Source organism: Homo sapiens, chromosome 5 (assembly GCF_000001405.40).
Source record: "Homo sapiens chromosome 5, GRCh38.p14 Primary Assembly".
Lineage (NCBI taxonomy): Eukaryota > Metazoa > Chordata > Mammalia > Primates > Hominidae > Homo > Homo sapiens.
The window spans coordinates 107330823-107353450 of NC_000005.10; positions in this window are offsets into that span (position 1 = coordinate 107330823).

Sequence of the window (22628 nt, forward strand, 5' to 3'; positions counted from 1 at the left end):
TAGTCAAAGTCATGCCTGAAGACGGACTCTATTAAAATAAATGTGTTACTTGTAAGACATTACATTTTAACTCAGTAATGGTCACTTACGCAGTGACCCACCATTTACTTAGCAGACCAGCTAACATGTTTCCTGGCATAGCTCAGGGTTCTGAGGGAATGCAACACTAGGCAGGTCTATTTTACTAGGGAGAGGAGGGGAGAAAGAACAGAGGAAGTCATAGGAATCATCCCGAATGTGCAGTGCTGAGCACGCGCATTGCTGCGGAAAGAAGGCAGTCAGGATCTAGAAGACAGCTCCAAACAGAGCCACTGGAAGTGACTCAGCTAATTCGGAACGGGTGAGCGAGGATCCTGCTCCTTTCTGCCAGATCACAGAGGAAGAAAGAAGAAAACATGAACCAATATATAATTTGCTAAACTAATTAAAAAGGTTTATTGGGAAAGAGATCAGAATACAAAAACCAAAAACGGTCAAAATTCATTATCTTCAGATCATCTATTATTTTCATCTTCATGAATGTATTCGTTTCCTAGGGCTGCCATTAAAAAATTACCACAATTTGAGTGCCTTAAAACAACAGAAATTTATTCTCACAGTCCTGGAGGACAGAAATCCAAAATTAAGATGTCAGGAGAGTTATATCCTCTTAGGCTCTGGGGAACAATCTGTTCCATGCCTCTCTCTTATCTTTTGGTGTTGCAATCCTTGGCATTCCTTGACTTGCAGACAAATTATGTACTCCAATCTCCATATCCATCATCACATGACATTCTTCTTGAGTGTTCCTCTCTCTTTCTCTTCTCTTCTTATGAAGACACTTGTCATTAGAGTAGGGCCCACCCTAATCCAGTATGACAGCATCTTAACTTGATTACATCTTCACAGATGCCATTTTTATATAAGGTCACAGGTACTGAGGGTTAGGACATCAACACATCTTTTTGGAAGACACAGCTCAACCCACAACAATAGTCCCTTTCCAAAGAGAAACAAGACTTCAAGCTTCGTGCTCATTCTTCCCAGGGCCTTCCCACAATTCAGACGGGATCATTCACTGAAGGAATGGTGACCACTCAACTGAAGGAGGCAGTTGAGGAAAACTCTATCACTGTGATTAGGAGACTGAACAGCTCCTAGAAATTAAGATCATATTCTTACTGTGTTCTTCCACTTGGAGCTTTACCAGCATCAGCATTTCCATAAAGTTTTCAGAGTTTCATCCTTGGCAATAATCCAACACATGAGCACAACACTAAGGAATTGGCAATAGGGCATAAAGGACTATTGTTATAATGAGGAGTGGCAGCTCAGGAATAAGGAGGAAAGAGAGGCGCTAATCTCAGGGGCAAAGTAAATTGCACGCTAAATCAGTGATATCCATAATACTAAACAGAGGGAGGCTTAAAAGACAGGTTATTGACTTTTGTTTTTCTTTAAAAAAAGACAGGTTCTGAACAGGATCACAACCTGGGTGAGCAACTAGATATAATTAACGTGTAAACTATAGTTTTGATTCTATAATTTTTTCTGTCTCCAGCCTTTACTATACACACACCCAAATTCCAAGCAAGGCAAGGAAACTAATTAACAGATCCATCACTGAATAAATGAAACTCAAGTTATCCATGGCATCCATTGAAAATGGGCCAGCATGTATACACCTACATATCCGTGCCAACCACCATGAGATGAAATGAATCAGAGTCTACCATCCCTAACATTTAGGATGTCAGCCATTAATAATGGCAGTTTCAGGATAATGCTCTTAAATGAAATTGGGACACTATTAAAATCAAGATGGGCTGTTAACAATGCAGTTTCATCACATGCAAATTAGAATACTTGAAAAACTTCAGAGGTCTTAGGAGTAAGAATAGTCTCTCAACTCTTTAAAATTGAATAGAAAATGACTTGGGGCTTTCATATCTGAAACTATATTAAATGATAATACTGCATAAATTTGGACTGGCCCCTCACTTTCAATAAAGCTGACCTTGAAACTTTTTATTTACAAACTCATCTAAGCTAAGACCATGGCAATTAAGTCTTGAACTGCTTTTTATGGTTGCATTCTCAAAAAGACAGCAAAAATGTATTGAATACCTACTACAGGCCACACAGTGTTCTAGAAGCTGGTGATTCAAAAGTAAATAAGGCAATGTCCTTACTCCTTGGAGATTACAATGTAGCAGGGTGAGACAGATGAGTGTGCCTCAGTTCAGAAACAGGTGTCCTACTGGGTATAAAGAGATTTTTGGGTTTTGGCTTTTTTCCTACTACATAAGTATTTTAATGTAACAGCTACTTTTAGTAACTAGACTTTTTTCTGGATTTAAACATCCTTTTTAAAATTATTTTTTATTATCCTTTAAGTTCTGGGATACATGTGCAGAACTTGCAGGTTTGTTACATAGGTATACACGTGCCATGGTGGTTTGCTGCACCCATCAAACCATCAACTACATTAGGTATTTCTCCTAATGCTATCTCTCCTCTAGCTCCCCACCCCCTGACAGGACCGAGTATGTGATGTTCTCCTCCCTATGTCCATGTGTTCTCATTGTTCAACTCCCACTTATGAGTGAGAACATGCAGTGTTTGGTTTTCTGTTCCTGTGTTAGTTTGCTGAGAATGATGGGAATGCTTTTGCGCTGTTGGTGGGAATATAAATTAGTTCAACCATTGTGGAAGACAGTGTGGCGATTCCTCAAGGATCTAGAACCAGAAATAGCATTTGACCCAGCAATCCCATTAGTGGGTATATACCCAAAGGATTAAAAATCATTCTACTATAAAGACACATGCACACATATGTTTATTGTGGCACTATTCACAATAGCAAAGACTTGGAACCAACACAAATACCCATCAATGACAGACTGGATAAAGAAAATGTGGCACATATACACAATGGAATACTATGCAGCCATAAAACAAGGATGAGTTCATGTCGTTTTCAGGGACATGGATGAAGCTGGAAACATCCTTTTATAGATACCATAGAAATAAGTATAAAGAGGTTACAGTGTATTTTATGAACCATACTGGAAGGCCTGAAAACTTCTTTGTTATAAGGTAAAAAATTTTGAAATGTATTTTCCAAAATTTATTATTTACTTTATTTGATAATAAGAAAAAAATTAGCAGTGTGCAAAATGAGGACAGTCATAAGCTACAAGAAAAGCAGACCTGTGGACTAGTCCTTCCCAAGTTCCGCCACTTGGCTTTATTTTCATAATCTGTGATATTGGGGGTTAATTTTTTCTATCATTTTTAATGTATTATTCAGATATTACTGAATTATTCTGAGTAGCTTTGTATCTTCCAAAAGTTTAGTGGAAATTTTAATTTTTCAAATAATTTTAGAACTATTTTAAAAATACAGTAAAGCAAAAGGCACAGTCAAATGATATAGTCCATTGGAAACTACTAACAGAAAATTTATGCATGTAGGTTAACATATATTTGCACAGGCCTCTTAGTGATCTCTGGGCACATATTTGAGCTTCTCGAAACTGGACTATTGATAAGGAAGCTTGTAGCTCTGATCTGTCCTTTCAATAAATTTGTTCCTGCCTATATGCACTTTGTGAAGAATGATTTGAAGAAGTTCAATTACTTCAACTATGCAGTTTCAGCAACTACTTTAACACAAACCTGCTGGGCTCTATTAATGGCAGCTTAGACTCAACCAGATCCATTTGGTGTAGATTCTATTCAGAATCAGTATAACAGTCACCTGTGCGGTAACAAGTAAGCCTAGCACGTATCTTATAATACCATAATGTAAATAGTTTTAACATTTTCTCTAACTTTTGTAAGTTTATTGGCTTCCTTTTATGTCCATGATGAAGAATGCAGATATATTAGATATTGATAAGATTCCAATTTATAAAGAAAATTAACCATTGTTCTACTTTCAAGTTCTAGGTCAGTTTATTCGAAGAAAATCCTGAGGTTTCAAGATGAGCTGTTCAAATCGTTTACCATTTGCACCTATTTATTAGTGTGAATTAGAATTTTTTTCAATATCATGCAAGCAATGCAAAACACAAAAGTAAAATTGAAGATTGAGACTGCATTTATATCATCTATAAACCAGAGTTCACATTTTTGTACTCATTCAAACAGTGTCATTTTTCTCATTAATTCAGCTTTATAGAAAGTAAATGTTACAAATATGAACTTCTAAAATGTTACAAATATGAACTTCTAAAACAGTTACACTGTTCTCATCTCTTTTATACATAGAGTTTTTACATGATAATGATTTAGAAAGAAGTTGGTCCTTTTATGAAAATGTTTTACAATTCTTCTTGTCAGGGGTTGTTTCTTTTCGAGAAACAGAAACCTACTCAAGCTAGCTCAAAGTAAATTTTCACAATTTTCAGACTAATATTATTGGAAAACAAAAGCGATTCAATTCATTTGCTCAAAATGTCCTTAGCATGACCTTCAAGGCCCTAGGTAATATCTCCACTACATCTCTCTCTGATCTGAAGTTCCACTAACCTCCTCCTGGCCACTTGTGCACTAGCCCCAGTGATATCACATGCAACCAACATAGCCTTCTAGGCCCACCACTTCAGCAGGTGCTGTCAAAGATATTGACAACAACTCAAAAGGAGTGGAGGAGGCTTCTGCTAGACCCAAACAGTGTCTCCTTCGAAAACCAAAACAAAACAAAACACTGAGTAAGGTAAAAAATGATTTCAGATAGTCCCATCTCACTTTAGTATCTTAATATCATGATAGAGAAGTTAAATATACTTTAACAAGTTTATCACATTGTTTCCTTTTTACTTTTTATTCTTAGGATTCTTTGAATTGCAAGTCACTGAAACCCCAATCCAAATTTGCTTTAAGAAAAAATCTACCGACTCAAACAAGACAGAGATATTTTAGATTCAAGCAAGGATTGATCCAGAGCTTGAATGACTTTTACCCAAGAGTTTCTGGTTTTGTTTTTGTCCTTACCATTTCTCAACTTGACGTCCTCAGTGTTTTCATGGTTTCAGACTGCCTGCCAGAATCCAAGTAGTCCTCAAAAGTGCTAATGGATTGACTTGGCTCACACTGAATTAACTACAAGTGTTAAAGGAATGCGATATGTTGATTGGTGTAGGCTTTGGTCACATGTTCTACCCCTAGAATTAGGAATACAATCAACTGTATGAGGTCCACATGAGCTTAGACCAGGGGAGAGGAGATTCCACCACCAGAAAACCTGGATGCTAAACACCACGACCAATTCCTACCATCCTTGATGTGGCACTCAACTTAGTGAGACTGGAAATAATTTCATACAAGGTGAAAGCTTCTAATCTATAATTTTAATTTAATTTCAATTTTTGCTCTGCTATCTTTACTTAAATATTGACTATTAAAACCAAACCATTTTTTTTCAATAGTCTGTAGATAAAACATCATTACACTTCATATTTATGCTATATTCTTTACTTTTGGTTGAACGACCAATTCTACCAATCTACCCTCAGTGAAGTGCCCACAAGACCCTATTCTCTAGACACGTACATCAGGAGGGGAAGTGAACATTTAATCAATTAATATTTGCTGGCTAATGCTTTGACATTTACAAAGTCTGGGACACATCTGCATGAAACTCTAAAATAAAATTGGGCAAGTGATTAAGAATAAGATAATGAAAAGAAGCCAACTGGATTTAAGAAATAGATGCATTTCTTAGTCATTATGAGATTTGAAATGATGCTCATTGTCTCCTCAGTTTGTGAAAACTTTTTGTCAGATCATTCTACACACCATTAACAAAACAGAGAGCTGCACTTCATGGATTCAAGATCAAGTGACTGGTGAAATAGTTCAGCATTCAATAGATTGTCTAGGCATTTTGTGCAACTATGCCTTAACAAATAGAAAATTCAAATCCCAACTTATTTTGTGTTATGACGATTTTTAAAATTAAATTACTCTTTGCCAAGAGCAGTCAGCAATTGTTATGTAGCAGAGAAATATGCCATAAAAGTTGAAAAATTGGGCTCTGGTGTCAGACTGCCTGGGTTCAAGTCTTAAATCTGTACTTATTATTATCCCTTAATTTCTTTATCAGAAAAAAAAATCAAAATAGTACTATTATCTAATAAGAGTTTTCATAAGGATTAATGAGTCAATCCATAGGAAGCTCTTAGAAGTTTCTGGAAAGCAGAGTGCAAGGAGTGTTAGTTACAATTACTATTCTCCACTTTTTCTCTCTCTCTCTTCTTCTCTCTCCCTTCACACTTTTATTTCTTCATTACATTAAAAAATGCTATTAAATTGTTTTATGGATGCCTCATTTTTCTATAATGCAGATCACAAACTGGCCCAGTCATGATTGAGATATAATCACCAAAGAAATGCCTTCGACAGAGATGGAGTAGCTGACAAGTTGCTAAACACAATGTTAAACTGTTTGTTATTGTTGAGGAGTGGGAAGCTTCTCTTTTAAAAGACTCCCAAGTTTAAAGCCAACATGATTAATATTCAGAGCAGACAGACTAGTTTATATAGCCAGAGACACTGAGGTCAGCCTGGATAATGGAAGAGCATGCTCATTCCTGAGCCTGTAGTGACACATACTTACATCCCTACCGAGTCCAGGCACCTCAGGCTTGTCAAAAAGAGGTGTGTCCATAAGGTTGTAAAGATTTGAACCTTACAAATGAGCATCATGTAGTCATAAGCATTTGGATGAGTCACAGCTTATTTTATGGGTGTAGCTCATCTTCAAAGGAAGATTGAACTGGCCATAAACATCAGATCATGGAACATAAGCTTTTCCAAAGACTCCTCATAAAAAAATACAATAAAAATAAATACAGCTATTGCCTAAAATTCAAAGTCTCACAGAGATTTATTGTGAATCGAATGCATCATTGCTCATCTTTTTTTTTTTTTTTTTGGATGATATCTATAGCACTGAACTGAGTTTCTTTCTAAAATGTTGATAAAGCTATTTTTGTTAATGTACATGATCGGTTATAGAAGACAACCTCAATACAGCATGGAATAGGAGAACATTTTAAAACATCTGCATTTTTACTGTTTTCCAATTCTCATCAGGAATCTTGTTGGCCCCTCAACATGTAATCTGACATGACCTAAATAATACCCACATTTGGAGTGGCCAAAATGTCAAAAGATTTCAAGATATTACAAAAACAAAAATATCCAAAGTTCAAACATATTTTTACATGTGTGGTCCACCACCCTAAATTTTCTGAAACTAAACATGAAGATCATTTTCGTGAAAATAATAAATTATGTTTTTGCTAGCTTCCATTTATATGAAATCATTTAACACATATTATTTTAGCATACCTATTACTTTTCCAGCACAATCTAGGTTCTTCAGGAAATTTAGAACAAACACAAGAGCCAGTCTCTGAACTCTAGGAGCTTTTATTTCAGCAGGAAGATTATATTGTGTGCACACAACATCAAACATCATAAGGCAGGCAACAATTTAATGGTGTCTTTTGGTAGAAATCAACCATTGTTGAAGGTTAGAGAAGAGGAAGAGCAAGGGCATAAATCAGGCAAAATTGCATGAAAAAAATGTCTTGAACTGAACCTGAATGTATTAATAAAACCCAGAGGAAAAGCGAACAATGAATTAAGTCAAATAACAATAACATCATCAAAAGATGAGTAAAGAATAACAAGTCAGTTTTTAGACAAAATCCAGGTTTCGTCAGTAAAACAGATATATGAGTCACAGGTAGCTCCAGCATTTCAAACTTGGGTAACCTAGAGAAGATCTTTATCAAATACAGGAAAGTTAAAAAACAGAGCTCAAAGACAAGAGAAATTTTATTTAAGAGATATTACAGTTGAGGTGACAGTACAATTTCTCATTATTGATGTCTGGTACACAAGGGGAGGTGATAATGGAGAGTAGAGTTTTGGAGAGAGATCTGGGGTTATAGGGTGAAAATTATAATATCACGTAAATTCTCCCTAGGCAGTTTATTCAATAGTGTCTATTGTCTTGTTCCCCCAGCACAAAATTAGAGTGCCCCTTTATTATGAGATTCATCCTACCCTGGAAACATTACCCTATTGTCTACATCAAAAATTACTCAACTCTTATGGGTCATGGCCACTTGAGCCATATTTTCTCAATGTTCCTTCATCCCAGTACCCATGGAGTTAACCAGTGTCATGCAGATATGCCAGATTTTATTTTTTTCAGTGATGACGGGCATACTGCTAGGTCAGGCTGACCTAGTGTGAGTTTAAAAGCATTAATATTTTACATACACTATTATTCCATGTAAATGCATTAAAGCATAAGAAAATCCCAATGTTTGTAGATTTTTTTTTTGCTTTATCTGAGTCTTAGTAGTTATGCTATGCTGTTTTATAACAATCCTGTTATGAAAGTCTTGAATGTATTTTGTATCTTCCAATGCTGACCAAATTATTTGATCTTTCATTAGCTGTCCACAAGAATAAGAGATTGATGCTCTAGGTGAATAAAAGTAAGAGTTGGAGATTTAATGGATGAGCAGCAAGGAATGAGAGGAAGAATGTTATATATGTGAACTGTAAGTTAAGCATTTCGGCGAATAGCAGCTCCCCACATGCTTTATGGTGGAATCTCAGGCCACTGGGTTGAAAGGTACCTTAGAGCTCCTCTAGGCTCACATTTCTTAGGAAAGATTAGGGCTGGGGCAGATGCAGAAGGATTTTGAGTGGTCTCTCTTTCTTGTGCTGTTCTGCTCCCACTTGGGGCAGAAATTTGTATTTGAGTATTTGTAAAAGATAACATTTAAAAATGACCACAAGACCCTGGTTACTAAGCTTGATCCCTCTTTTCCCTAAAGAAACTCTGAAGGATTTTTTTTTTTAATCACAAAAATAACAACAGAATCCTAAGATCATTTTTACCTTTTATACTAATGCTCCTAGATGGTCTTTGAAGGTCTAGTTACAAATGGATAAATGGAGGCCAGCTCCATCTCTAACGACCTACCAGCTTAACCTCACTAGGCCCGCCTCCCTTTCTGTTGAGTTAGATGCCCTTAAATTCATTTCCAGCCCTATCATTCTATAATTCCACACATATTCTGAGATAGTCTCATGAAGCCTATCCAAAGGCTCCATGATGGCAGATTCCTAATTCAACTTAAAACCAATATTACAATTTGGTAATTTTACTGGAATGTGAGTTGTTGTTAATGGCTTGATGATAATTCTCCTTAAACTTAGAGAAGCTGCTATGCAAAGTGTTTATTTAACATTCGGTTAATTCCTGAATGTTATTCCGGAATCCATGAAGACAACAATCCATGAAGACAATGTGAACACTAATTTTTCAGAGTGAAAAAATAAAGATAGGAAAGAGTTAAGTGTACTTATTAACCTACAGATGGCAATTTTGATCAATAGTGTAGACCTAGAAGAAACTTTTTTTTAATATATTTTAATTTAACCCTAGATGAAGCAATTTGGTTCAACATCCATGACCAGGTTACTTACTACAGCTTCCAGGTTTCCAGGCTATTTGTTTGCATTTACGAAAGAAACAAAACTGGGAATATATGCAATATACAATTTCTAAGATTTTTTTTCAGAGCTAAAATCATGTTGTAATACTTAAATAAATCCCTTTCTCCCTTGATCTATACAATATTTATATATTGTTGGAAAATTATAGACATGATTTTTAATCTGTCTTTAGACACATTAATATGTCTTTAGACGTATTAAACAATCTTTGGAGTTTTTGCTTACTTTATTTCTTAGGAAACCAGATTGCCAAGTTAGAGCATGGAAATGTATTCTTACCTGTGTCAGAACAAATCAAACATTGAAAATGAGACTGTATTTCCCTCTCATTGATGGTCCCTAATGGCAAAGATCCCATCTCCAGCTTTTGATCATTTTTCATTTCAACGGAGCATGCTGGGCCGCAGCTAAGCATGTGGAAATGGCTGTGAGTCAGGTGAGTAAAGGAAGCCCTGTGTCAGCACATGCTGAAAGCAGCAGCTGAAGTCCTGTCCACACTGGTAAAAAGACTGTACTGGAAACGTGTTTTGCCACATCCTGACAGTTGCCCTGCTTCTACCTGATATGGTCAGTTTCTGCCTGTTTATTCTCTAACCCACAAGGCATGCTGCATCCAAGTTGCTGTTTCCTTCTTGATGAATCTCCCTTGGATTCTGAAGGAATCCTTGGATTTTGCAGTACATCTTCACCAGGATAGTAAAAAAAAAACCACAAGTACCATCCTTCCAAATCAGATTTTAGTTAAGTTCATGGAGTCACTTTCCACATTTTTAGGACTGGTTTCTTTTCACTTAATGAGGTTTTTCAATTATTAAGATTCTTTAGCCACATCCAAGTCATGGCAGGATGGGTTTAAATGATGAGCATTTCCCCAACAAAATCATCATTTAATGTTGAGCAAAAACTTAAATAGTAGACGGCACATTCAGGGTCGGAACCAATGTCTGACAAGGACAAGCTTGCTCCAGCTCGGCCCGAATGATGATAAACTTGGGCTTCAACATTTCGACTCTTGAATCTGGGAAACAACTCAGTGGAAATTTATATACAGTGCGTAATGTGAGGCTTGGCTAAAAGCAAAGCTGCCCTTGGAAAAAGATAGATGGTTTTAAACAAGGCTAATTTAAAAACCTGAATCAAAGATAAATCAGCTTTCTGAACTTAGAGGGGCAGCCTCCACAGCAGAGGTCCCACACAGCCCACCCAGCGGAGGAGTCTCCCTCCTGCCCTGCCAAGAACAGAGGCCTAGGGCTGCTGGAAGAATCCCTCTGTGAGCCCTCTCTGGATGGGGAAAGGCAGGTTGGGGCCTTTGAGAAAGGCATTAATCACATTTGGTTCCTTGTACCTGAGAAAAAATAGCTATCTATGGGATCTGAATTTTTGTGTTTCAAACTGGAGAAAGCTTTTATGATGTCTCTTGATGAAATATAACCACCCTCTCATTCTAAGCAGCCTTTAAATTCTCAAATGTGTGTAAATGGAAAACACGCTGTGGGTCTTTATTCTACTGAGCAGCAAGAAATAAATCAGAACTCTCCCTCCGCACCCCCCATTCTGTCTCTCCCCTGATACCTCACAGATGTGCAGCGTTAGAGGGAAGAGCAGAAATGCTTTATAAAATTAATATGTGGAAGCTGCTTTATTTACCATAAATGCCTAGCCCAGGGCTTTCTCTACAGTGCCCCGTCAAGATATTAAGCTGAGTTCTTGCCTTCTGCCTACCAAAAAGTCCTCTTTCATATCTGTCGGATGGGAGGGTCTCCATTTTCTGCATAGGAGAGGCAGTTGGTGGTGGCGTGGTATTTACCGTCAAAAGTGAGATGACTGCAGGTTAGTGGTAAACAAAACATTTCATCCATAATGTATAAAATGTGTAAATCACTTTAGGATCCTGCTGGGTTCAAAGTCCTATATTAATATCCTTGATTAGTATAATTGATATTAAACTGGATGCTAGAGACCCCAATAGATGAATACAAATGCTAGAACTCGCCTCCGTAGCTCATTCATATCTGAAAATATGTGGAAGATATACCACAGAGCTCATGAAAGACTTTTAACTGATTTTAATAGCAGTCATTACATTAGAAAATGAGACTTCCGCTTGTAACAGAGATGAACTGGGAAGAAACAAAGGAGGAGAGGTAACTAGTGCAGCGCCCCAGTGCCCTGCCAGAATTACTGCTCATCATTCTTGCTTTCAGCAGTTAGCCGGCTCCTTTTGTCAAAGACTACCACCGTCTAATGAAACAATTAGGGCTTGACAGTTTAAATATGCTATTTTGTTCTTTTCAAATGTAAGTGCCAGCCACTAAGACAAACTATACCCACTACCTTCCTATCAGCAGAGCCATTGTTATCCCAGATAGAATGCCCTAAAAATAAAATCCATTTTGTATGTGAAGCTTCATCAAGTCAGGTCATGTCTGCTCCTCAGGGCAGACTGCAGTGTACTAATTTCATTATGCTATTTTTAAATGTAGCCTCCTTGGATCTTTTAGTATGTCCTACATAGCTCAACAAGGCCCTGAGTTAGTGTTCAGGGTTCTCTTACTAATCACCTCTGTCCACCCTGGCCTCCACCCTAACCTCCACAACCTCTCCAGACCTGGATGGTTAACAGGAAATAGGCACACTAATGATGGATGTGTTCACACAAAAATGAACATCACCTACTAGGCACTGGCCAACACATGACTATAAGAAGACCAAACTGGCATCAGTTTCTTGAATTCACTATTGAAGTTACTCCAGTTTTAAAAATAAAAATCCCCAAAAAGAGAGAATGGCTTTTTAAGATATCATCTTGAGTTATTTTTGAGCCTTTGTACCTATTTCTGTTTTGTCTCTTGTAGAAAGTGTTTTTTTTTTTTTAGTTGTATAATGAACACAGACTCAGGTAAATGAAAAGTGTAGAAGAAAATATCATTATTCATTACTCTTTTACTTGTGACTAATGGAAACCCAACTGAAACTTGATATGCAAAAAAGGACATATTGTTCATTTAATCAGAATTGGAGTGGCATTGGTCACAGAGAGATTCATGGGCTCAAATAATGCCATGAGGACAAGGTTTCTGTCTCTTGGTCTCTCAGTTCTATTTTTTCCTGTGTTAGCCTACATTTCAGGGGGATTGCTCCTCCTAGTAGTCCATGACACCCTCAGCATTACAACTTACCAGCTGAGTAACCCTGATGAATGTCGTCTCCTGGGGGTAGGGAGAATGAGATGATGGCCAATGGGCAGGAAATATCAGAGAGGAGAAATAATTTTTTTTTATTTTGGAGATCTATTATACACTGTGGTGACTATAGTTAATAATAGTGTGTTGTACAATTCAAAAATGCTAAAAGAGTAAATTTCACATATTCTTAACACAAAAAGAGTATTTGAGGTTATGGATAGATTAATTAGCTTGATTTAATTATTTCATATTGTATTTATAAATCATAACATCACTTTGTACCCCATAAACACATATAACTATAAATTTTCCATTTACAATATTTTTTCTTAAAAAAAGAAATGTTTCCTTCTTCAAAATTATTCTAACCACACTCCCCAAATTGAGTCTCATCAGTATGGCATGGGTTATGTGTTCACCCCTGAACCTATAAGTATGGACAGAGTAATGAGAATCTCTGATTGAGTCCATTTCTGTCATATGCTCACATAGAGCCAGAAGTTTAGATCAGTTGCAGATAAGCCACATGGACTGAGAAGAAAGAAGACGTGGTTCCCCAAAATGTCACCAAGGTATACCATCTGAAGAAAAAGGAAGAGATGCAGAGAAAGCAAAAAAGAGCAGATGTCCAACAGAGCAATTTATTCCCTCAAACTAAAAACAAGATAATATTCTTTGAAAACTTTTATCTTATTTATTCAGACAACAATCAAAGATACATACTTAATCCTAGAGGAGGTGGAAGGTCCAAAACTATTTTTGAAAACTTTGATGAATCTGTTCTAATTGGAAGAGTGAAATATTTTCCTCTCCAAGATTTAGAAACTGTCAGGAGATACCAGTGTGGGGAATAATGAAGAAATTACACAGAATAAAGAGAGAAAAAAAATAAATGGCATAAATTAATTGGGGAATCATGTCCCCAAAGTCCAGTCCCCAGTTGCACACTCACATTTTGAATATATTGTCCTGCTGCCTTCTTACCTCCATTATTTCTGATGAGAAGTTAATTGTTTATCTTACTGGGGTTCCCTTGTGCATGACGAATCTTTTTTTGTTACTGCTTTCAAGCTTTCCTATTTATTTTTGGCTTTCAACATTTTGATAGTGACATGTCTGTAGATTTGTGTGTGTTTGTCCTGCTTGGAGTTGGTTGAGCTTCCTGGGTGTATAGATTAATGGCTATCATTAAATTCGGAAGTTTTCAGCCATTCTTTCTTTCTTTTTTTTTTCTTTTCTTTTTTCGAGACAGAGTCTTGTTCTTTCACCAGGCTGGAGCACAGTGGTGCCATCTCGGCTCACTGCAACCTCCACCTCACAGGTTCAAGTGATTCTCCTGCTTCAGCCTCCTGAGTAACTGAGACTACAGGTGCCCACCACCACACCTGGCTAATTTTTGTATTTTTAGTATTTTTAGTAGAGACAGGGTTTCACCATGTTTGCCAGGCTGTTCTCAAACTCCTGACCTCAAGTGATCCTCGGCCTCCCAAAGTGCTGGGATTATAGGCATGAGCCACCGCACCCAGCCAATTTCCTCAAATGCTTTTCTTGCTTCTTTTTATCTCTATTCTCTTTTGTGTACTCCCACTATACACATGTTCCTTGGTTAATGGTGTACCATGTTTCTCTGAAATACTGGTGTTTGGTTGTTTCTTTTTTTTCATTCTTTTTTCTCTCTGTTCTTAATTCTAGAGGAGGTGGAAGGTCCTCTCTATTGAACTAATTTTAAGTTTGCTGATTCTTCTCCCAGCTCATTTTGAGCACCTCTAGTGAATTTTTCATTTTAGTTATAGTACTTTTCAACTTCAGAATTTCCATTTGGTTATTTTTTTTAAGCCTTTCTATCTCTTCATTGATAGTCTCTATTTGATAAAACATTGTCATCAGGTTTCCTTTGATCCTTCAGCTATGATTTTCTTTAGTTCTTTGAACATATTTTTAATAAATGCTTTGAAGTCTCTGTCTACTAAATCCAACATCTTGGTCCCTTAAAGGCAGTTTCTATTGCCTAGTATGTTTCCTGTGTATCTGTCACTCTTTTCTGCTTCTGTGCATGTCTCATAATTTTTTGTTGAAAACTGGACATTTTGGATAATATATTGAAGCAAACTTGGATATGAATATCCCCTGGGTGTTGATGTTGTTTGATTGATCATTTGTTTGTTTGGTGATTTGGCTGAACTAATTCTGTGAGGCCTATTTTTCCTGTAGTGTGTAGCCTCTCAAGTTTCAGCTCAGATTATTTTCCCCTTGTTTTTTACCTTTTAGCCTGGTTTCCTAGGGGTTGCCCCAGAGTCAGCATAAGCTACTTATTGGTCAAAAGAAGATACTAATTAGTCAAAATTAAGCTCTGTTAGATTTTTACCCTTTAGCACTGGATGTACATGTGTGTAGCTTGGGGGCTGCTATTAGAACTCAAGAGGGTGGTAGTTTTGCCCACAATCAGCCCAGGGACTAGTAGCTTTGAAGTTCTTGTCTCTGATTCCCTCTGAGAGGGCACCACCTTGGGTATGCACACTATCTTCCAAACTGCCAGGGATGCATGTGCTTTCAATTCTAACCCTAAATTCCTAGGAATTATTTTTGGGCCAGGGTAGCTTATCGTTCAGCCAGTGTTCAGGAAGAGGTGTGCTTAAAACCCTTGTGCCAGTGAATCTTCTGCTCGATGTTGATGATAGATATGTGTGCAGTTTGGGGAGTGATTTCAAATCTGTCCAAGTCCTCTTCTGATTGCTCCTGTATCAGGGGAGCCAGCCCCCAATATTTCAATGTAGGTTCTTTTCTATTTTCCCTAAGTGTTGGCCAGTCTGAGAAATAAAGGGAAAGAGTACAAAAGAGAGAAATTTTAAAGCTGGGTATCTGGGGGAGACATCACATATCAGCAGGTTCCGTGATGCCCCCTGAGCCGCAAAACCAGCAAGTTTTTATTATGGATTTTCAAAGGGGAGGGAGTGTACAAATAGGGTGTGGGTCACAGAGATCACATGCTTCAAAGGCAATAAAGTATCACAAGGCAGAAGGTCAGAGTGAGATCACAAGGTCAGGGTGAAACTAGAATTGCTAATGAAGGTCCATGTCCTGCTGGGCACACATTGTCATTGATAAACATCTTAGCAGGAAACAGGGTTCAAGAGCAGAGAACCATCTGACTAGAATTTGCCAGGCTGGAATTTCCTAATCCTAGCAAGCCTGGGGGCGCTGCAGGAGACTAGGGCATGTTTCATTCCTTATCTTCAACTGCATAAGGCACACACTCCTAGAGCGGCCATTTTAGAGGCCTTCTCCTGGGAATGCATTCTTTTCCCAGGGCTGTTAATTATTAATATTCCTTACTGGGGAAATAATTCAGTGATATTTCTCTTACCCATTTTCGGCAATAAGAGAAATATGGCTCTGTCCTGCCTGGCTTCCAGGCAGTCAGACCCAATGGTTATCTCCCTTGTTCCCTGAACGTCGCTGTTATCCTTTTTCAAGGTGCCCAGATGTCATATTGTTCAAACACAGATGCTTTACGAAAAATTTGTGCAGTTAACGAAATCATCACAGGGTCCTGAGGTGACATACGTCCTCAGCTTATGAAGATGATGGGATTAAGAGATTAAAGTAAAGACAGGCATAGTAAATTATAAGGGTATTGATTGAGGAAGTGATAAATGTCCATGAAATCTTCACAATTTATGTTTACAGATTGCAGTAAAGACAGGCATGAGAAATTATAAAAGTATTAATTTGGGGAACTAATAAATGTCCATGAAATTGTCACAATTTATGTTCTTCTGCTGTGGCTTCATCCAGTCCTTCCGTTCAGGGTCCCTGACTTCCTGCAACACTCCTGAGTAGATCCCTAACACATATGCACGGCCCTTTCTGATCCACAGAGTTGACTGTGAATCCAGAGGAATATTCTTAGCTGTTTCTTTCTATGGTTCTGTCTACTAGACTTCTGGCTGTTTTGCTTTTTGACTTGTTGCTACCAGTATCATGGAGCTACCAACAGCCTCATAATTGCTCTCCACCAAGATTTCCATTGTTTTTCACTCCCTGCGACCTGGAATTTCCATATTCTGTTTCAAATAAACTCAGTTCTCTCCAGCTGAGCTGTTCACAGCCTGCCTCTCCCACTGAGTACAATCTCCCAGCATAGGAGCTGGGAGAAGGGATGGTGGCTCACCTCTCCTGGATTGACAACCTTGCTCTACTGGTGGGTGCTGGAATAGGAGGTGGTAGCCCCTGATCTCAGCTTACCCATCTAAGCACAAAACTTCCACATTGCTAGGGCATGAGCGATAGGGGCACATATATTCTCAGCCTGCCACACCTGGGTTGGAGGTTCTGCTCTGGGAGTAGGGGCTGGTGGTGGATGGGAGTCTTAGTTCTTTCAGCCACTCCTGCCCTGAATAGAGCTTTTGCAACAAAGGGCCTGGAGGGTGGGCAGGGTGAAAAGATACCCCTGGACTGGGAGCCTAGGGATGAGGGAGCCCTTCTCCTCTCTACTCTCTCTTCTCCTTCATCTTCTTGGCTGCACCTGCATAGAGTAGGACACCCAGAAAAGAGTTTCCTAAACACAGAGCTGAGCTAGAGGCAAAGGTTATGACTCAAATGTCACAGACTCTTGCTGTTCTTACTGCTCAATAGATTTTCTTGAATGAATATTTCTCCATTTGCTGTGTGACCTTATGACAATTTCCAGAGATTTTTAAATGGCTTTTCATAATTTTTATCAGTTAAATAGTTGTTTTACTGAGAAGAGAGTCCTCTGGCTCCTCACTCACCATTCTGGAAGTCCCTCTACACTCACATTTAACTTTCATTCTGTAAGTTACAAATCCATCAGTCATAAGCCATTCAAGAGCTTAAAGAGTTATCTAGTCTATTCCGTCTGCCTTTGGATAGGATAATACCTTAGCCAGCCCAGATAGATGAAAATCTATACTGGTTTTGAAAACCTTCAGAGAAAAAAATTTCACAGCCTTTCTTAATAACCTAAATCAATGCTTAACAACTCTCACTGCCAGGAATTCTTCTTTGCTCATAACCTAAAACCCACATGCTACAGTTTAAAAGCCTTTCCTCTTCATCTGTCCTGGAGAAGATAAAGAACAGCTGGTCACCATACAACATACTTCCTCTCTGTGAGGAACCATCTCTAACATCCTTTAAAAAAAATCCTCTTTTGACCCTGTCATTAGAATAAATAATCTTAATATTTCCTCATTCTAGTTTTAATTTTAATTTTTCTGGATACATAATAGTGTCTATATGGGATACATGACATATTTTGATACAGGCATACAAGGTGTAACAATCACATCAGAGTAAATGGAGTATCCATCACCACGAGCATTTATCCTTTCTTTGTGTTACAAACAATCCAATTATATTCTTCTAGTTATTTTAAAAGGTGCAGTAAATTATTGTTGGCTGTAGAAACCCTGTTGTGCTATCAAATACTAGATCTTATTCATTCTGTCTATATTTTTGTACTCATTAACCAGTCCCACTTCCCCCTAACCCCACTACCTTTCTCAGGTAACTATCATTCTACTCTCTATCTCCACAAGTTCGAATGTTTTAACTTTTTTAGCTCTGACAAATGAGTGAAAAGAGATGAAGTTTGTCTCTATGTGCCTAGTTTATTTCACTTAACATAATCACCTCCAGTTCTAGCCATGTTGCTGTAAATGACAGTATCTCATTCATTTCGATGGCTGAATAGTACTCCATTGTATATATGTATCATATTTTTTATATCCATTCATTTGTTGATGGACACTTAGGCTGTTTCCAAATCTTGGCTATTGTGAATAGTGCTGGAATAAACATGAAAGTGCAGCTATCTCTTCAACATACTGAGATTTCCTTGCTTTGGGGCTATATACTTAGCCATGGAATTGCTGGATCACCTGATCATTCTTTTTCTCTCTGTGTGTGTGTGTGTGTGTGTGTGTGTGTGTGTGTGTGTGTAACCTCCAAACTGTTTTCCATGGTGGTTGTACTAATTTACATTCCTACCAGCAGTGTATGAGGGTTCCCTTTTCTCCACATACTCACCAGCATTTGTTGTTGCCTTTCTTTTGGATACAAGCCATTTTAAATGGGGTAAGAAGATAGCTCATTGGAGTTTTAATTTGCATTTCTCTGATTATCAGTGATGTTGAGCACCTTTTCATATACCTGTTTGCCATTTGCATGTCTTCTTTTAAGAAATGTATATTCAGATCTTTTGCCCATTTTTAAATCAGATTAGTAAATTTTTTTCCTATTAAATTGTTTGAGCATGTTTAATATTCAGGTTATGAATTGCTTGGCAAATGGAGAGTGTGCAAATATTTTCTCCCATTCTGTGTGTTGTCTTTTCACTTTGTTGATTGTTTCTATTGCTGCGCAAAAGCTTTTTAACTTTATGCAATCCTATTTTTCTATTTTTGCTTTGGTTACCTGTGCTTTATTACTCAAGAAATCTTTGCCCAGTCCAATGTCCAAGAAAGTTTCCCCAGTGTTTTCTCTTAGTTTCATAGTTTGAAGTCTTAGGATTAAGCCTTTTTATTTGATTTTTGTATCTAGTGAGAGATAGAGATCTAGTTTCATTCTTCTGCATATGAATATCCAGTTTCCCAGTACAATTTATTAAAGACACTATTATTTCCCAACTATATGTTCTTGGATCTTGGTCAAAAATGAGTTCACTGGATGTATGGATCTATTTCTGGGTCATCTATTCTGTTTCATTGGTCTATGTCTCTGTTTTTATGGCAGTACATATTGTTTTGGTTACTATTTCTCCGTGGTATAATTTGAATTCCAATAATGTGATTCCTCCAGTTTTGTTCTTTTTGTTCAGGATAGCTTTGGCTATTCTAGGTTTTTTGTGATTCCATATAAGTTTTTGGATTTTTTTCTTCTATTTCTGTGAAGAATGTCATTGATATTTTGAGGGAGATTGCATTGAATCTGTAGGTTGCTTTAGGTAGTATGCACATTTTACCAATATTGATTCTTCCAATCCATGAACATGGAATATCTTTCCATTTGTTTTGTGTCCTCTTCAATTTCTTGTATCAAAGATTTATAGTTCTCATTGTAGAGGTCTTTCACTTCTTCGGTTAAGATTATTCCTAGGTATTTTATTTTCTTTGTAGCTATTGTAAATAGGGTTTCTTTCTGAATTTCATTTTAAGGCAATTTTGCAGATGTTGTAAGCGTGTTTCACTCTTTTCTATTCTTTTTTCTTTTGTTTCCTCTGACTGTGTATTTTCAAATGCCTGTCTTTGAGTTCACTAATTCTTTCTTCTGCTTCATCCATTCTGCTCTTAGGAGATTCTGATGCATTCTTCAGTATGTCAACTGCATTTTTCAGCTCCAAAATTTCTGCTTGATTCTTTTAAATTATTTCTATTTCTTTGTTAAGTGTATCTGATAAGATTCTGAATTCCTTCTCCACAGTACCTTGAATTTCACTGAGCTTCCTCAAAACAACTATTTAGAATTCTCTGTCTGAAAAGTCACATATCTCTGTTTCTCCAGGATTGGTTACTGGTACCTTATTTAGTTTCTTTGGTGAGGTCATGTTTTCCTGGATGGTCTTGATGCTTGTGGATGTTCATCAGTTTCTGGGTATTGAAGAGTTAGATATTTATTATAGACTTTGCAGTCTAAGCTTGTTTGTACCCAACCTTCTTAGGAGGGCTTTCCAGGTATTCCTGGAATTCTAAGTTTTTGGTCTCTATAGCCCTATCTGCTTTAGAGTGTACCACACGCCCAGTAATGCTTTGGCTCTTGGAGATTCATAGAGGTGCCACCTTGGTGATCTTAGGCAAGATCCAGGAGAATTCTCTGGATTACCAGGCAGAGACTCTTGTTCTCTTCCCTTACATTCCCCCAAACAAATAGAGTCTCTCTCTATGTGTTGAGCTGCCTGGAGCTAGGGGAGGGGTGATAGAAGCACCACTGTCACCACTACCACTGGGACTGTGCTGGGTCAGACCTGAAGCCAGCATAGCACTGGGTCTTGCCCAAGGCCCATAGTGACCACTGCCTGGCCCCCACCTATGTTCACGAAAGGCCCAAGGGCTTGTGTCTTTCCCTTAGGGGTGGCAAGTTACACTCAACCCCAGGTGGGTTTGTAGATCCTGTCCAGGAGCTAAGGCCTGGAGTTGAAATCCTTTTGAATCTACCAGGTACTCTATCCTACTGTGGCTGAGCTGGCATCCAAGCAGCAAGACAAAGTCCTTTGTACACTTCTCACCCATTTCCTCAAGCAGAGTCTCTCCCCATGTCACCACCATCCTAGGCCAGTGGCAGGTTCTGCCTGGCTACTGCCAGTGTTCACTCAAGGCCCAAGGGCTCTTCAGACAGCTTACGATGAATGCTGCCAGTCCTGAGTCTCTCCCTTCAAGGCAATGAGATCTGCTCCGGCCCAGTTCAGGTCCAGAAATACTATCTAGGAGCCAAGACCTAGATCTGGGAACCCCTGCAACCTGCTTGGTGCTCTACCCTATTGTGGCTGAGCTGGTACCTAAGCTTCAAGACAGTTTCTTTATTCTTCCCTCTGCTTTTCTCAAGCAAATGGATTCTCTCCTCATAGCCACTACATAGCTGGCAACGTACTGGGTCACACCTGAAGACAGCACAGCTCTGAATCTCAACCAAGGCCGTGGTGAGTATTGCCTGGCTACCACTACTGATTATTCAGGGCTTAAGGGCTCTTTAGTCAGCAGGTGATAAATCTTGCCAGGAATGGGTCCTTTCCTTCAAGGTAGCAGATTCCCTCCTGGTCCAGGCTTGTGTTTAGAAATGGTGTCTGGGAGCTAGGGCCTGGAATGGGGGGCCTCAGAATTCTGCCTGGTGCCCTGTTCTACTGTGGCTAAGTTGGTATTCGAGTTGCAACACAAATTCCTCTTTACTCTCCCCTCTCCTCTCCTCTCCTCTCCTCTCCTCTCCTCTCCTCTCCTCAAGCAGAGGGAAGGAGTCTCTTCCAGAGCTGTGAGCTATGCTGCCTGCGGTTGGGAGAGGGGTGACACAGGAACTTCCTTGGCTGTCCCACCTGGTATTTCACAGGTTGTGTGCATTCCAAATCCACTGGCTTGAAGCCCAGCACAGCACCAAGATTTACTCAGGAATTGCTGTCTTTGTGGCCTAGACTGCCTTTCAAGGTTATTTAGGACCCCAGGACTGTTTAGGCCAAGGTGGCAGGGCTTGCCAGGGTGGGTGATTCCTCTCTGACTATGGCTGGTCTAAGTGCTCCCTCTGTGGGTGCCAGCTGAGTTCTGCCCCATATTGCTTTCTGCTGTGACAGGGTAGCACTGAGTTCCAATGCAAAGTCCACACTCACTGTCCTCTCCCTTCCCCAAACACATAGATTCTCTCTCCATGCCATGCGGCCACTGCCAGGGATGGGGAAGGAGTGGTGCAGGCGATTTGAGACTGTCTTTCTTACCTGCTTCAGCACCTCTTTCCTCAATATGATGTTATAACTAGGTACTGTGATCGCTCACCTGATTTTTGGTTATTTTGAAGGTGCTTTTGTTGTGTATAGTTGTTCAGTTTGGTGCTCCTGTGCTGGGGAGACACTAAATGGAGGCTTCTATTCAACCACTTGTTCAGCTTCCCTCCCTTCATACTATTTTTCAATCCATGAGCAACCTTTGTGCTCTCTTCCAAAATCATTTCACTGTTGTCATTAACCTCTTAAGATCTGAAATACTTCTCAAAGCAAGGTCCAAGAACTTTATACATGATTCTCTTAAAGTGCTTGTTAAATACACAGATTTGTGTGACCCTCTCTGGACTTAGTGACTCATAACCCTGGTTATGAATCTGGGAATCAGCATGCCTAACAAATTCACCAGGTGCTTCTGATGCACTGATGTATAAGATCCTATAGGCTAGACTGTGGTCTATTTTCACTGG